The sequence below is a fragment of the Homo sapiens genome, chromosome X (genome assembly GCF_000001405.40).
Source record: "Homo sapiens chromosome X, GRCh38.p14 Primary Assembly".
Lineage (NCBI taxonomy): Eukaryota > Metazoa > Chordata > Mammalia > Primates > Hominidae > Homo > Homo sapiens.
Genome location: NC_000023.11, coordinates 78,651,251 through 78,667,531, shown reverse-complemented (window position 1 = coordinate 78,667,531; position 16,281 = coordinate 78,651,251). Strand labels below are relative to the sequence as shown.

General features: G+C 40.0%; 1 protein-coding gene and 1 long non-coding RNA gene across 2 annotated transcripts in view; one reads left to right on the top strand and one right to left on the bottom strand.

Annotated features, from left to right (window-relative positions):
- The window catches only part of LOC107985670 (uncharacterized), a 68,935-nt gene extending 54,862 nt beyond the window's left edge, over window positions 1-14,073 (bottom strand). The window contains exon 1 of the long non-coding RNA XR_001755900.2: window positions 14,018-14,073. This is a non-coding gene — a long non-coding RNA (uncharacterized LOC107985670). The remainder of the gene's footprint in view (window positions 1-14,017) is intronic.
- RTL3 (retrotransposon Gag like 3) lies at window positions 8,204-11,464 on the top strand. Its single transcript, NM_152694.3, has 2 exons — window positions 8,204-8,271; window positions 8,884-11,464. The coding sequence occupies exon 2, from the start codon at window positions 9,112-9,114 to the stop codon at window positions 10,537-10,539; it is 1,428 nt and encodes a 475-aa protein (NP_689907.1). The 5' UTR covers window positions 8,204-8,271; window positions 8,884-9,111; the 3' UTR covers window positions 10,540-11,464.
- Window positions 14,074-16,281: the final 2,208 nt, after the last annotated feature.

The following is a 16,281-nucleotide window of genomic DNA, read 5'->3' as shown; positions in this document are numbered from 1 at the left end:
GTACACACAAAGAATGCAGTTTTAGATAATCCAGTTCTGCTAAAAAATCAAACAGGGTAGTGACAAGAACAAAATAATTCAGAAATGGAGTGGAAGGAAAGGGGGAAATGGAATTTGGTTATGTAAATATTCTACAGGAAGAGATTGAGATAAAAGAGCTAAACCAAGAGGTCCATGCTGGGGTTAGCATGGGACATCTATGCCTGTTTAATACCTGACTCAAAGGTGAAGGAAAATTTAATCATTCTGAACATGAGGGAAATCACAGCCAGGATTACAGTGTTAAGAAAACATACATTCAAAAGCTCTAGGAAACATTAAAAGAGAAGATCACCTGATAGATCATATTAAAAATCTACCAGGTGTTCCTGGGTGTGAGGGAGTATTAATGGATGCTAGGATCTTAGTAAATTAATAAAATATTTAGAGCAGTTAGAAATTGCCAGAATCACATATTTCTTGACCATGAACATATAAAATATTTGCTTTTTATTGTCATCTTTCTGCTAAAACTCAACTTTCTCTTTGAGTAGCTCTGTATTACATTTTATGTCTATGAACTTACACATTTCCTTCACGTACCCTAGGTTTTATCCAAACTGAACTGTTGCTTCCCCCATTCACAAGCTGAAGTTCCTAATCTCTTTGCTTTTGTTCTCATGATTTCTTTCATTGGAGATTGTATTAGTCTGTTCTGATGCTGCTAATAAAGACATTCCAGAGACTGGATAATTTATAAAGAAAAGAGGTTTAATTGACTCACAGTTCCACATGGCTGGGGAGGCCTCACAATCATGGCAGAAAGCAAGAAGGAGCAAAGTCACATCTTACATGGTGGCAGAGAAGAGAGAACTTGTGCAGGGGAACTCCCCACTATAAAACCATCAGATCTCATGAGACTTATTCACTATCATGAGAACAGCACTGGAAAGACTCACCCCCATGATTCAATTATCTCTGCCCAGGTCCATCCCACGACATGGGGGAGTTATGGGAGCTATAATTCAAAATAAGATTTGGGTGGGGAGACAGCCAAACTGCATCATTCCACCCCAGCCCCTCTCAAATATCATGTCCTTACATTTCAAAACCAATCATGAGTTCCTAACAGTCCCCCAAAGTCTTTAATCATTTCAGTATTAACTCAAAAGTCCATAGTCCAAAGTCTCATCTGAGAGAAGGCAAGTTCCTTCCACCTGCGAGCCCATAAAATCAAAGCCAAGTTAGTTACTTTCTAGATACAGTGGGGGTACAGGCATCGGGTAGATACACCCACTCCAAATGGGAGAAATTGGCCAAAACAAAGGGGCTAGAGGCCCCATACAAGTCTGAAATCCAATAAGGCAGTCATGAAACCATAAAGTTCCAAAATGATCTCCTTTGACTCCATGTTTCAAATCCAGGGCACATTGATGCAAGAGGTGGGCTCCCACAGCCTTGGGTAGCTCCACCCCTGTGACTTTGCATGGCACAGCTCCCCTCCTGGTTGCTTTCATGGCTTGGTGTTGAGGGTCTGTGGCTTTTCCAGGTGTACCATGAAAACTGTTGGTGGATCTACCATTGTGTGGTCTGAGGGATGGTGGCCCTCTTCTCCCAGCTCCACTAGGCAGTCCCCCAGTGGAGACTCTGTGTGGGGGCTCCCACCTCTTATTTCCTTTCCACATTGCCTTAGCAGAGGTTCTTCATGAAGTCTCTGCCCCTACAGCAAACTTTTGCCTGGACATTCACATGTTTCTACACATCTTCTGAAATCTAAGCAGAGGTTCCCAAACCTCTATTCTTGACTTCTGTGTATCCACAGGCTCAACACCATGTGGAAGCTGCCAAGATCAGGGCTTGCACCCTCCAAAGCCACAGCCTGAGCTGTACCTTGGTCCCTTTTAGCCAGGGCTAGAGAAGCTGGGAAGCAGGACACCAGATCCTTAGGCTGCATACAACAGAGGGGCCCTGGCCCAGCCCACAAAACCATGTTTTCCTTCTAGGCCTTGAGGCCTGTGATAGGAGGGCCTTTAGCAAAGGCCTCTAACATGTCCTGGAGATATTTTCCCTATTGTCTTGGTGATTAACATTCAGCTCCTTGTTACTTATGCAAATTTATGCAGCAGGCTTGAATTTCTTCCCAGAAAAATTGGTTTTTCTTTTCTATTGCATCACCAGGCTGCAAATTTTCCAAACTTTTATGCTCTACTTCCTCTTGAATGCTTTGCCGCTTAGAAATTTCTTCTACCAGACACCCTAAATTCTCTCTCTCAAGTTCAAAGTTTCACAGATCTCTAGGGCAGGGGCAAAATTCCACCAGTTTGTTTTCTAAAACATAACAAGCGTCACCTTTAGTTCCCAAAAAGTTCCTCATCTCCATCTAAGACCACCACAGCCTGGACTTTAGTGTCCATATCACTGTCAGCATTTTGGTCAAAGCCATTCAGCAAGTCTCTAGGAAGTTCCAAACTTTCCCAAATCTTCCTGTCTTCTGAGCCCTCCAAGTCTCTAGGAAATTCCAAACATTCCTACATTTTCCTATCTTCTTCTGAGCCTTCTAAACTATTCCAACCTCTGCCTGTTACACAGTTCCAAAGTCGCTTCCACATTTTCAGGTATCTTTACAGCAGCAGAGTTGCTTTTTTTTCTTCATCCATTCTAAATTCACCCTCATACTGGGATGATCAAATCTTACCCTTCTCTCAAATTCAAATTCAAAAGCTCAACTCAAAAGCCACCTCTTCTATTAAGCTTTCCAAAATTTCACCCCTCACTCCTCTCTACCACACCCCACCACATCCACAAGTTTTCTACCTTTGGAGGACTTTATCTTTATCTCTCACATAACATTTAGCACTGAGAGATTTCTGCATATTAATAGGAAAGTACATATTTTTCCTGTTCCACTGGCCTGTAAACTCCTTGAGAAAAAGCTCCAAGAGCATTCATCTTTGTATTCCTCACTCAGCATATGCATCACAAACACATACATCACACCCCCTCACACATACATACACCCACACGTGCATATAGACAACCACAGCACAGTGACTTTAACCACCTGAATACTCAATAAATATTTGAAGAAAGAAGGTGAGAAAGAAGAAATGTAGATTGACATTATGGAAAGCAAAATACAGATAGTCCCTGATTCATGATGGTTCAACACACGATTTTTTGACTTTACAATGATACAAAAGCAATATGCATTCAGTAGAAACCGTACTTCCTATACTCACACAATCATTCTGCTTTTCACTTTCAGTGCAATATTCAATAAATTACATGAGATATTCAACACTTTGTTATAAAACAGGCTTTGTATTAGATGATTTTGCCCAACTGTAGACTAATGTAAGTATTATGAGCACATTTGAGATAGGCTAGGCAAAGTTATGATGTTCCGTAGATTAGGTATGTTAAATGCATTTTCAACTTATGATATTTTCAACTTACAATGGCTTTACCAGGACATAACCCTATTGTAAGTCATAAGATGAGGAGCATCTACATATTGGAGCAATCATATTATGTTGAGTTTATATGGAAAAAATTGAGAAGAATTTTGCTTGAATGCACTAGATAAGCTGACATGAAAATCAATGACAATTCTTTCCACTGTCAATATGATTTTTATCATAAGCTACAACTCAGAAAATGCCTATTATTAAATACTAACATTATTTCTAATCCTCGCAGCAACTCAGTAATTACCCATTGTTATCTCCTATTTTCCAAGTGAGGAAAATGAGTTTCAGAGAATTTAAGCAACTTGGACAAGACCATACAACTAGATACAACTAGCAAACAGCAGAGGTGGGAATTGAAACTAGTCCTGCCTTACTTCAAAGCTTGAGTTCTTTCCATTAGCACATTTTTAAAGCACTTTAACAACTGATATCTTATTTGTAGCACACAGAAAAATGGCCAATTTTGGTATTCTTTCTCCTCAGCACCACAGTCACTCCTACATCTTCCACTTCTACACTCTTACTGTCCTCTTCAGTCCCACTGAGGCTCTACCATCACTCCTTCAGCAGTCTGCAAACCTTTAAAGACCATATCACCCACTATGGACTAATTAAGACCTGTAGAGGTAAGCTTAAACACTTAAAAGATAATGCTTCATTATTTTATCTAATTTTTAAAATGCTAAACTATAAAATTAAATTTTATCTTTCACTGACCAAAATGTACCTATGCTGAGGTTTTAAGCTCCTTTCTAGATTTCCTGATATTATCTTTCCTTCTCCTCGCCTTCTCCCCTACCCTCTCTTTCTCCCCATATCCCTCCCTCTTTTTTTCTCTCTCTCCCTTTCTCCTTCTCTCCATCTGTAGCCCCTCATCTCCCCGCTTCTCCCTCCATCTTGTCTTTCCCCATCTCTCCTGCTTTGCTGGTACCATCAGCTTAAACTTAGTCTGACTTCTGGGTGAGCCAGCATTGGTAGGCCTCAGAGAGTAAGAGGTCCAGGAAGTAGAGGAGAAGGACAGATCTCTACAATAAGTGCATCCCCAGAAGTGGGGTTATAGCAAAGTCCCGCATTCCGTGGTTAGGCTGTGATGGCAGTTTCCTCAGCCCTGGTGAGGAAACTAAGGCACCCTGGTGCCTTCACAAGGATTTAGTGAAATCAGAGCATTAAAATCATTAAGCATATCTGCTGCTAATACTAGGGGCCATATTGGGTCAACTTTATAAGGAAATCAAATATAAGGCCACTGACAAGGTGTAATCTGAAGGACACCAAAATGATATCTCTGACCAAGGGTATCTCTCCTAACAGAAGAGTCTTGAATGGATTGCAGTCTTTCAAAATATCCTATGAAAATGCACACACCCCCAAGAAAGATTTTTTAAAGTCTTACGAGTTAGTATTTCAGTAGGGCCTTACTTTCCCAGTGTGACAGCTGATCAAGCGGAAAAGCCTCCTAAGTATGGGATAAGAAATAAAGTGAGAAGGTTGTAAATTTCGTAAAGGGAGATGAGTGACAAATTTTGACTCCTGTGTGGGATAGACTCTGTTTCCATACCATTACTAGGTCCTCTGGGTCCTGGCCTTATGAGTAAAGAGAATTTTTGGTCAGCCTTCTAACTTCCAGAGAAATTGGGAACTCCTGTTGCCCCAGTGCTATATTATGGGGTGTTGTTGACAATGAAAAGTTTCATTCTGTACTAATCACATTATAGGTTAAATTTAAGAAAGTGTTGCAAGCTATAATGTAACCATAGGAATAATATGTTAAATAAAACACACACCAGGATGGGACTGCCCCCAAGGGGTGACTGGGCCTTGCGCCAGAGACCTGTAGGGTAAACTGTCCCATTGACTGTTTTTCAGAGTGGGAAAAGGGAGGGACAGAAGCTGGAGTTGCTTAAAGATGCAGCCCAGCCAGCTTAGGGGAGGAAGACCCTGGGAGAGACCTAAAACATTTAGTTTGTATATTTGCCGACGAAAGAAAATTATGAGCCAGTGGAATGTACAAAGTAGAACTGCATTGCATTCAACCTTTTCTTTCCTTTTCTCCCTAAGCTAACAATCAGCATATGTAGCTTATTAACATAACTGAGCCTGAATATTTCTTATTAGTGTGTAGTCTTTTTATATCTGTTAAATGAGCATATTTGTCTCTTTTCTCCCTGAAATATTCATTTGCATAGTTAACAAAATCTCATTTACTTAAAATATTTTCATGACCGTTCTAAAGGATCCATACATTCCATCATATTGTAAATGTATGAAGAAGAATTACAGTGTAGGGGAAACATGATGAAAATTTGGATGTGATTACTTTCTTATTCTTACTTTCCTGTTCTCACTTAACTAATTCAGGATGCTGAAACCACTTTAGGCGTTTTGACAAAAGTCTGTGTAGCTGCCTTTTCCACCCAGAAAAGAATAATTCTCTATGTTTAGGCAGTTTGAACTTGTACTTAAGGACGGTGAATTCGGTCTTTGCTGTTTAGTGTAGGGGGCTGGGGAAGGAAAGGTTTCTGTGTTTATACACTGAATAAATATTCCTGTAGGCAAGACACTTTTCAGTGCTTTAGTCCATGAACTTTTTAAACATCTATCTTGGCTGCTTCACAATTCCAGTTTTAATCTTCTAATCTTCCTGCTCAGGTGCCTCCAGTCCTGATTCTAGAGTACTATCTGGAAACTAAACCATCTATATCCCAGCAAGGAAGAATAGATAAAAGTTCCCAAGTGGTGAAAAACCAATGCTGTAAAATCGATGCACTGTAGATTTCTCGGTATGAGACCCCTTTCTCAGCCTCTACACAACTCTAGCATGTTTACCTATTCAGTTTCCCAATTCACAGGTGATTAAAAAGAATAAATTAAAATGAGATTACTGCTGCTACAGCTTATTATTATTATTATTATTATTATTATTAACCTTTATTGGGTGTTATTAGCTGCCAGACACTGTGCTAATCCTTTTTTCACACATTATTTCACTGAATTTTTGACAACCCTATAAAGTCAAATAATATTAATAACTTCATTTTACAGTTTCATAAACTAAAGTTTAGATTCTAACTATCAGAAGGATGAAGTAATTTGCCAAATTTGTATAGGGTAAGTATAGACAGGCATATAGGTATAACATGAAGGGCTATGTTACAACTTGATTGCAAAAGAGTATAAAAATATAAAGGAAAAGAAAATACAAGAAGTCGCAAAACATAGCAATTTGGAAGTTTTTAATTTGAAGACAGACCACTTTATACCTCTCAGTAGCTTTCAGAGGGCAACACTGTGTTACAACAGGGTAAACTAGCTGGTTTGTGTAAGTATGAATCCAAACCATTAAAACTGGATTAAATTATATGCAAAATCATTTCTTAAGAATGGACAAAGAGGTATAACATATGCTATAAATATTTCTCTGATTTTTTTAAATTGAAATACTCTTTATTAAATTTCAACTTGATGTCCAGTATTGAACCTTCAAACTCATTGTTACAGAAATTGCTAAACATTAGGAAAGAGTTTCAATTAATAGTTGTTCCCTAACTAAGCCCGTTACAAATTCAGGTGTTGGAAGTTCTCTTTTCTTTCTGGATAAAATAAATGTTAACTGTGTGTTTTGGCTTCTTGGAGGGCAGGAAGGCTTCAGTTATCTGAAAACTTCACATAAATAGATCACATCATCCCTGATGATGGTGGTATTTTTATATGTGTGGTGTTTCTAGAAAAATAAAACTTTGAAAGGTAAGGAAAGAATAAACTCGATTTGCAAAAGATTTTGTTTTTACTTTCAAAGCTTCTGCATTCGGATTCAGGTAGCCCAGTCTGTCAATTTGCTATGTTTTGGGCCTATTCCATCACTAGGGTTTATCCCATTATGCTGACTAATGCAGAACTGACCATTTGTGAAGGAGACATGGGACTGTGGTTGACATGATGTGTGATTTGAAATGGCCAAATGCAAACCTCAACCCCACTCCTTACTTGGATAAAAATAGTTGCCCCTAAGCCTTGCCTAAAATGGCCACATAGCCCATACCCAAGGCATAACTGTGATCTGGCATGAGAAGAGAAAGTGAGATTCTGAGCAGGGTTACTTCCCAAGAGGCCAGTCTTTAGTGAATGTCCTGAGTGCTACCTGGAGCACCTGATCAGTTCAGGGAAGCATGAGATCTTTGGTCCAGGACATTCAGAAAGAGCCAGGGACTCTGTAAGACTGCTATAAGTACCCACCAACACAATTGGTCTCCCTGACATTTGTACCCTTTTATACCTTTTCTAGATCTGTCTGTGGCAAATTTTCCAAGAAAACATTGCAAGGAAAAACCCTAGGGACTGAATAGGTAGTAAGCAAGGGAAGGGGCTGAGGGTTTGCAGGCTGTTCCCTGAGTGAGAAGTAAACAAATGGCCCAATTTGGACAGAGTAAGAATAGGTTAGATGAGACAGACATAAAAAATCACATCCCAAACCACTGTGGTCATTCAAAAATGTTTGCAACTTTTCACAAGGGCAGTGGTATTACTCACAATTTCCTGGCCAAATATTCATTAAAGTAACCAAGGACTGAGTACATGAAGCTGCTTCACATCAGCACAGCATCCTACTTTCCTTGCAGCTCTGAACTGTGAGGTACTGTCAAAAAACTCTTCCACACTTTAAAAAGCTATGTTACAGAGGAAAGTTGGAATGTGTTCTGGGAGTGGGTGTGTTTGCTTGAGTTCAGTGTGTGCAGAAAAGGCAAGCCTCCACAGCCATTTACACATTTCCCTCCTCAGCAATGGGTACACAGACAGCCAAGCTCCTGGACTAAGTCTCTGAATGGTAACGTACATTTATAAAGATTATTTTCTTAACTATTTTGAGGTATTTTATAAATAATATGCATGTGTCTTCTGAGGGCATATATATATATATATATATATATTTAGTCGACTTTTGCTTGTTTTCTCCTGAGGCTGGTCTTGTGTGGTTACTTATGTGGTATGATTTCTGAGGTGTCAGAAAGAGCTCCCTCCTACTTCCTACCACCCTAGTCACCCAAAAATATCTCTTGGGCTGGCCCACCGCAGAGCCTAAAATTCCCACATTGCTCAAACATTTGATTTAGTCACTGAAAGCAGCTGTTAAAATCCAAATGTTACATTGGGATATTAGGCAGATATTCAAGATTAAAGACTATATAAAACAGAAAATAATATTAAAAAGTTGCTTTTGATATAATGTTAAGTTTCAAAGGATAAATGCAAAATGACATGTGCAGTTTGGGACAGATGCTGTTCTTAAAATGTCGTGGAGTCAGATCCAGCATATATACCCCAGCTCATGAACATAAGCCTATGGTAAAAGAAACCCAGCATTGTTGGGCAGATTTTGTTTTATGTTGAATGTGTGCTTTCCACAGTTTCTGATCCTCAGCTCCCACTCTCTTCGCAGTGTATCTGACACTTCCCCTTACTGAGCTCCGGAGGCTCCTTCTTGCCGAGCTCCGGAGGCTCCCAGTGACCTCTTGATAATCAGCCTTGGCGGGGCCCAAATACCACCCCTTGGAAAACTCACTGAGCCTGACATCTGCCTGTAAGCAGCTTTCAGGAAGGATCTCACAAACACCCACCCAATCTCTCTTGGTAGCAAATTGTCAAATCATACCCATTTCCTCAAAAGATGGTGGAGGACTTAGCAGCCTCCTATATTGTTCTGAAATTGGAGAATGAAATTCGGCAGGCTCAAGTGCAGTGGCTGATGGAAGAAAATGCTGCTCTCCAGGCCCAGATCCCAGAGCTTCAGAAGTCCCAAGCAGCCAAGGAGTATGATCTACTCCGAAAGTCCTCAGAGGCCAAGGAGCCCCAGAAGCTCCCAGAGCACATGAATCCCCCAGCAGCCTGGGAGGCCCAAAAGACCCCAGAGTTCAAGGAACCCCAGAAGCCACCAGAGCCACAGGATCTTCTACCCTGGGAACCCCCAGCAGCCTGGGAACTCCAGGAGGCCCCAGCAGCCCCAGAGTCCCTGGCGCCTCCAGCAACCCGGGAGTCCCAGAAACCTCCAATGGCCCATGAGATCCCAACAGTCTTGGAGGGCCAGGGGCCTGCAAACACCCAGGATGCCACAATAGCCCAAGAGCCCAAGAATTCAGAACCCCAGGATCCCCCAAATATTGAGAAGCCCCAGGAGGCACCAGAATACCAGGAAACTGCAGCACAGCTAGAGTTCCTTGAGCTTCCACCTCCCCAGGAGCCTCTGGAGCCTTCAAATGCCCAGGAATTCCTAGAACTCTCAGCAGCCCAGGAGTCCCTGGAGGGTCTAATAGTTGTGGAGACATCAGCAGCTTCAGAGTTTCCACAGGCCCCTATTGGGTTAGAGGCTACAGATTTCCCCCTGCAATACACTTTAACCTTCAGTGGAGATTCCCAGAAGCTTCCTGAGTTCCTGGTTCAGCTGTATAGTTACATGAGAGTCAGAGGGCACCTGTATCCCACTGAAGCAGCCCTGGTGAGCTTTGTTGGCAATTGCTTCTCAGGTAGGGCAGGATGGTGGTTCCAGCTCTTACTGGATATCCAAAGCCCCTTACTGGAGCAATGTGAAAGTTTCATACCTGTGCTCCAGGATACTTTTGATAATCCAGAAAACATGAAAGATGCCAACCAGTGCATCCATCAACTCTGCCAAGGGGAGGGTCATGTAGCAACCCACTTCCACCTCATTGCTCAAGAGCTGAACTGGGATGAAAGCACTCTCTGGATCCAATTTCAAGAAGGTCTTGCCAGTTCTATACAAGATGAACTGTCTCACACAAGCCCAGCCACCAACCTATCTGATCTCATCACTCAGTGCATCAGCCTGGAAGAGAAGCCTGATCCCAATCCATTAGGGAAAAGTTCCTCTGCAGAGGGAGATGGACCCGAGAGTCCACCAGCTGAAAACCAACCTATGCAGGCTGCAATCAACTGCCCACACATCAGTGAAGCTGAATGGGTCCGTTGGCACAAAGGCCGCTTATGCCTCTACTGTGGTTATCCTGGTCATTTTGCCAGAGATTGCCCTGTCAAGCCTCATCAGGCCCTGCAGGCGGGAAACATCCAGGCCTGCCAGTAAGGGGGACCCCACGTGGGCCAATCTACAAATATGCGTCCCCCTCTCTTCCAATATCCATGTCTCATACACTATGGCTTACTGTTGAAATCCAACTGGGAAGAAGATAATTCTTTGAGCAAGCAATGGTAGATTCAGGCTCCTACAGAAACAGCATTGATCATACTGTGGTTCTTCGAGAGAAGCTGCCCATCCGCAGTAATATCTTCCCTCTGATGCTGGAAACTGTCGACGGCCATCCACTTATTAATGGACCCATAACTAAGGAAACATCACCTGTCCAAGTTCAAATTGGAAACCATGTTGAAGAGCTCCAGTTTGACATTATTCATGCACCACGATACCCTCTGATTATTGGAATCCATTGGCTTGAGACACATGACCCAAACATAGAATGGAGTACCCGCACTGTGTCCTTTCTATCACGTTATTGTCACTACAATTGCTTCAGGCACAGGTGGAATAGAAGAAATCGTGATGAAATAATTTCTGGGTAGATCCTGTGTCCTAGTGACTGTTCCTGGCAACCTGTCTTCTGTTACCTCAGCTGTCATCAGCATTTGCTGCTCCCTGAATCTTCTACTGAACATCTTGCTATGTACTAAGGCTACCTGTACAACGACTCTGCCTCTTAGATGATAGACTGAACCTGATGACTTTGAGCTGCTTTTTTTTTTTTCACTAACTCTGCATGCCTCTATCTCAGAACTCTGCATCCTGCGGAACTGTTTTAATTACAATTATACTAACAATACACATGAGAATAGATATTAGAAACTAATAATGAAAAAGCATAGCTGTTAAACTGACTTGATTTTTTTCTTATCAATATTTTCTATATCACAAAAATGGCAACATCTTTTACATAAAGAAAATAAGTTTGTAAGTGATATTTCTTAAAAGAATCAATAAATATTAGCAATTTCTACTTGTGTTTGAGTTATTTCTTGGCTTAGCTAGAGGAAGAGATAATGAACCAGTAAATTGGGAGGGAGAGAGGGAATTAGAAAATGTTCAATGTTTAGGGAGGCTCCTAAACATTCCGGGTGTAGTGATAGGTCTGCAGATGATGGAGAAATGATGTAGAGGGTAAGATGGAGAGAGTAGGGAATGGTTAGGGCTGAAAGTGAGAGTAGGGAATGGTTAGGGCTGAAAGTAAGTGAGGTATGGAGGGATTAGGGGAAAGGTAGAGGTAAGATTGAGAAGAGGGTTTGGGGGAGATTGGGAGGAGGTTGAAGAGGGTTTAGAGGAGGGTTGGGGTGCTGAGAGGTAGAATCTCCAGGTGAGGTGTGAGGAGTGGTCTAAGCAGAACCTAATGCTTTTCCTCTGTGTTTTCAGCTTTCCCTTAGGAGCCTCTCTCATTGAGGCTGCTAAAAGCGGACTCTTTCCCTCATTTAGACAAATGTAGACAAAATATCAAATAAATGATTATAACCCTAGAAGGTAATAGGGAAGGGGCTTACCATTCATTGGACCACTAATATGTTCAGCTACAATGTCAGACATTTAACACACATTAATCATCTCATTACTCCTCAGAACAATCCAGTGAAGTAGTTTGCTCCTGTTTTAGCAATGAGCAAACAGAATCCAAGCAAGGCTAATTCACTTGCCCAAAGCCACACAGCTAGTAAGTGATGAAGACCTGTTTGGCCTACAAAGCCTTTGCCCTTTCCCCTACAGCATGCCAACCTCCCTAATGCAGTGGTAAGAGCCAAACAAAATTATGGCAGCAGAGACCTAAGTGGGTCCCTTAAGTTTTCCCCTAAAACTGAGGGGAAAACTCAAAACAAAAACTTCTAAAGAGTTTGGCTAATAGTTCCATGTCCTATGCTTTGGTACTACTTCCACTTCCCTGGTTCTCTTATTCTACTGCTAACCCTGTCATCACCCACCAAACTCCCTTTTTCATTTCTTGGAAATTTTTCTTTTGTATACCTAATGTCTCAGACCTCTTTCAGATTCCAAGGTGTTTTTAATGAGAGTTGGGAGTCCAGAACAGTTATCTACAGGACCTGTACATTACATAGCAGCACCACCCCTTGGACTGTCTACCTAGCCACTTCCATAACCCATCCAAATCCTCTGCAGCCTTAAATTCCACCTCTCCTAGTCCTCACTGGCCTTCCCTTCCTTTCCTGAACAGTCAAATGTACTTCGGCACTACAATTGCTTTGTGATACGTGGGGGTTCTTTCCCTAGGTACATGTCCTGTATTCCCCCACTTCCACCCACACACATACATACTTAGCTTGGGTGAAGGAACAGAATGATCTACATCCCTACCCTGGACAGTTAAGTGTAACACAGTGTCTTATACATAAAAAGTTTGACATAGTGACTGATTCGATGACATTTTATTATCAGAGAAAGGGGCTTATTTGTATACTATATACAGGCCCTTCTTGCATTTTCTCCTACTCAGTTGCTCATCTTTATTCCTAAAACCAAACACTATTTGTCAATGTGGAATTAAAGAGAGAAAAAAAAAACTTTAAGCAACCATAAAGAAAAAATGCCTCTTATTGGCCAAATTACCCTGGACCTAGGAAGATCAACTGTGCTTGGTTTCCCTGGGACTGAGAGGAGTCATGGGACATAGGGCTTTCTGCACCAAAACTGGGACAGTGCTAGACAAACTGAGACGGTTGGTCAACCTACCTGGACTCTATATTTTTCTATCTGGCTACAGAGGCTTATTTAATTAGAGTACAATTCTTTATTTTACAAACGGGAATAATTATCTAATCACAGAATCACAGATGCTGTATGTTGAAAAAGACTCAATAAGCTCTCGTCTTAATTTTACAGATTAATGAGCTGAGGACCAGAGAAAGGAAAGTCACTTAACAAAGCTCAGTGTACCTCTACCTATTGTTTTTAAATCCTTTGCTCTCTTTTCACCGTGATCCACAATTCTAACCCAAGAGTTAAAAATCAAGTCTGTGGCTACCATTCAGTCAGGTACTGTGGACAGTATTTAAAGTATAACATGAGAGGTTTAAATGTGGTCAAGAACAAAAAAATTAGCAGGCGTTACACAGCTAGCATAGATAGCCAAATGCTAAGTTATGTGATGGCAACAAATATACTAAACTGAAACATACCAGCTAATGAGACTAATAAAAATTTCCATTTAGTGAGCACTTGCTCTTTGCCAGATATTGTGTTGGGCCATTTAGGTCTTTTCAACTGTCTGCAAAGTAAATATTGTTAGCCCCATTACACAAATCAAATGATTGAAGTCCACTGAAGTGAGGTTACTTGCCAGAGGTCACACTGCTAGGAATTGATGGATTCTAAAAACAAACTCTGATCTGTCTCATTCCAAAGCTGGAGTGTCATCCAACGTACCACACTGCTCCTCAGTATGAACGACCTTTACTCTATTAACCACCTTAATAATATTGATTCACTAAACATGAGTGCTAGTACCCTAGAAAAGATTTTAATTTATTAAATTAATCATTACTTTACTCACTCAACAAGCATTTATGGAATGCCTTCTATGCATCAGAGACAGGCAGGAGAGAAGAGGAGGGAAAAGAGAGAGACAGAAAAGGAAAAATATAACTAAAGCATGACTCATTGTTTTTGCTCTGACCACAATTTAAAAGGGGAAGCCGTTGGGTAGTGCAGCACTGTGACATACAAAGGAGAGAACACTAATTCTGCTTGAACTGAAGTGGTGCATTTTGAGCTGGTTCCTGGAGAAACCTCATTGGAAGCAAGAGGAAAGGCAGGGCTTCCTAGGTTTAGTATGGTGCAAACAAAAAATCAAGCTGGAGGGAAAAAGCAAGGTGTCTTCAGAAATGATAGTTCTATGTCACTGGAGAGTAAAGATGTGTGTGTGTGTGTGTGTGTGTGTGTGTGTGTGTAGGGTGGAGGTGGGGAGATGAAGCTTTAGGTTAAAGACATTATCTATTAATAGCTAAGGAGTTTAAACTTTATCCTGTGAGTGATTTAGACTAAGATATTTGTTTTTCTTTCTTTTTTTCTGTTGTAGATATGATTGTATTTTTCTCTTCTGCTATGAAATACTGCATACTTATTCCAACAAATTCATATGTATCAGGACTTTATAACATAAAAATTGAAGGTTGGCCCCTTTCTCTTTCCCCATCTCACAAACTCAGAGTAGGAAAGAAACATGATTACTTTGTATTTTAATAATTTTATGAGAATATCGAAAATGATAAAAAAGTAAGCGATAAAGTGTGCCTATTCTTTTTATCTTCTTAGATTTGATGAAGTTGAGTTCAAACCATCAAAAGCGAAATATTAAAAGTAAATTAAGCTCAACTTTCATCAAGTATTTATTTTGAGGGCTTACTGTAAGCAAGGCACTGAAGTACACATAAACATATGCAGGACAATATTCCTACCATCAATGATTTCACAATCTAGTAATGGACAAAGGATCATGAATAATAAGAGACTACCATTTCATTTGGGCCTCATCAGTTTCAAACACTTTAAAGAGTCTCTAAATGAAGTTGTTTTTAAAAAATAAATATTTTGTAATATTTGGCACAGATGAAAACAGTCCCCTCTTTAGCTAACTTTTCTAAGTTGACAATTTAAGAAGAAAATGATGTCTATGTATTTTTGTACTCTCCCTTTCTGGTTTGCTTTTTTAAACAAATATTTTGTAGTTTATGATATTAAAGTGTGCCTGGAATATTTATGGTCAGTCTGTAGAAGGATTTACATGTATTTCAGTTCATAAAGTACCTGTATAAGTCTGTTTTTAAAAGGTTTTGTAGGAATAGATAATTTTTAAAATTCTTAATGCAGTAAATTTTGATATCTAACATTCTACAAGATATCAAATATTGAATGACAAGAACAATATAGGGATCAAAGTACTAGGGATCAAGATATTAAGATTAAACTCCTAGGTTTGCCACTTACTAGCTGTACAACCTATTTCATTTAATAAATGAGGATAATAATATTTGCTTTCTCTACCCAGCAAAGTTCACAAAAGCATCAAATGAGAAAACTCATGATAAAAAGCATTTTGAAAATTGACAATGCTGTATAAATAAGAGATATCATTATAATAACCGATCTTTGTTAAAGTGACCACAAGCATCTTGAAAATACCAAAATGCCTGTTTAAATTTATTTCAACTCCACAGAAATCTATACCTAGTAAATACCTCCTATATGTCAGGTACTCTTTATTGTCAATCAAAGCAAGATTCAATTAGGATTTATATAATTATCATATTGAGTAGTTTTTTAGTATTCCTACAGTCAAAGCCCTGGCACATATAACAGCAGTCTCCCAGAATACTTTACGATCTAAAATGCCAATTTCTTATTGGGGCATGACAACTAGATGTTAACTTACTCTAATTGGTCTGAACTTGTTGTTTTTTTTTTTAAATCTATTTAGCACAACATAGAGAAAACATGTCAGCACAGACTAATTTGTGTGTTCCCATCAATAAAAATAACTTTAAAAATTAAAACTCACAGTTATCTTTTTCATTTATAGTTTTCTAAGTAAAAATAATTGAAAGTTAAAAGGTCAAACCATACTGGCCTCTAAATAAATCACAATGTCTGCAGGGAACAATTGCCATCATCATTTAACATGACTAACAAGATCTCACCTCGGTTATTATTTTGCCTCAAAGCGATTCAGATGTGTGAGAAAGTTTGGTGAAGGGTTTTAGTCTCGAGAATGTGGAACATATTCAAACTAGGTCTGTAGAGAAGTGGGGGAGGGTAACA

What these genes read in the sequence shown, in the direction of transcription:
- RTL3 (NM_152694.3), top strand. Translation starts at nt 9,112, where the DNA reads ATGGTGGAGGACTTAGCAGCCTCCTATATTGTTCTGAAATTGGAGAAT.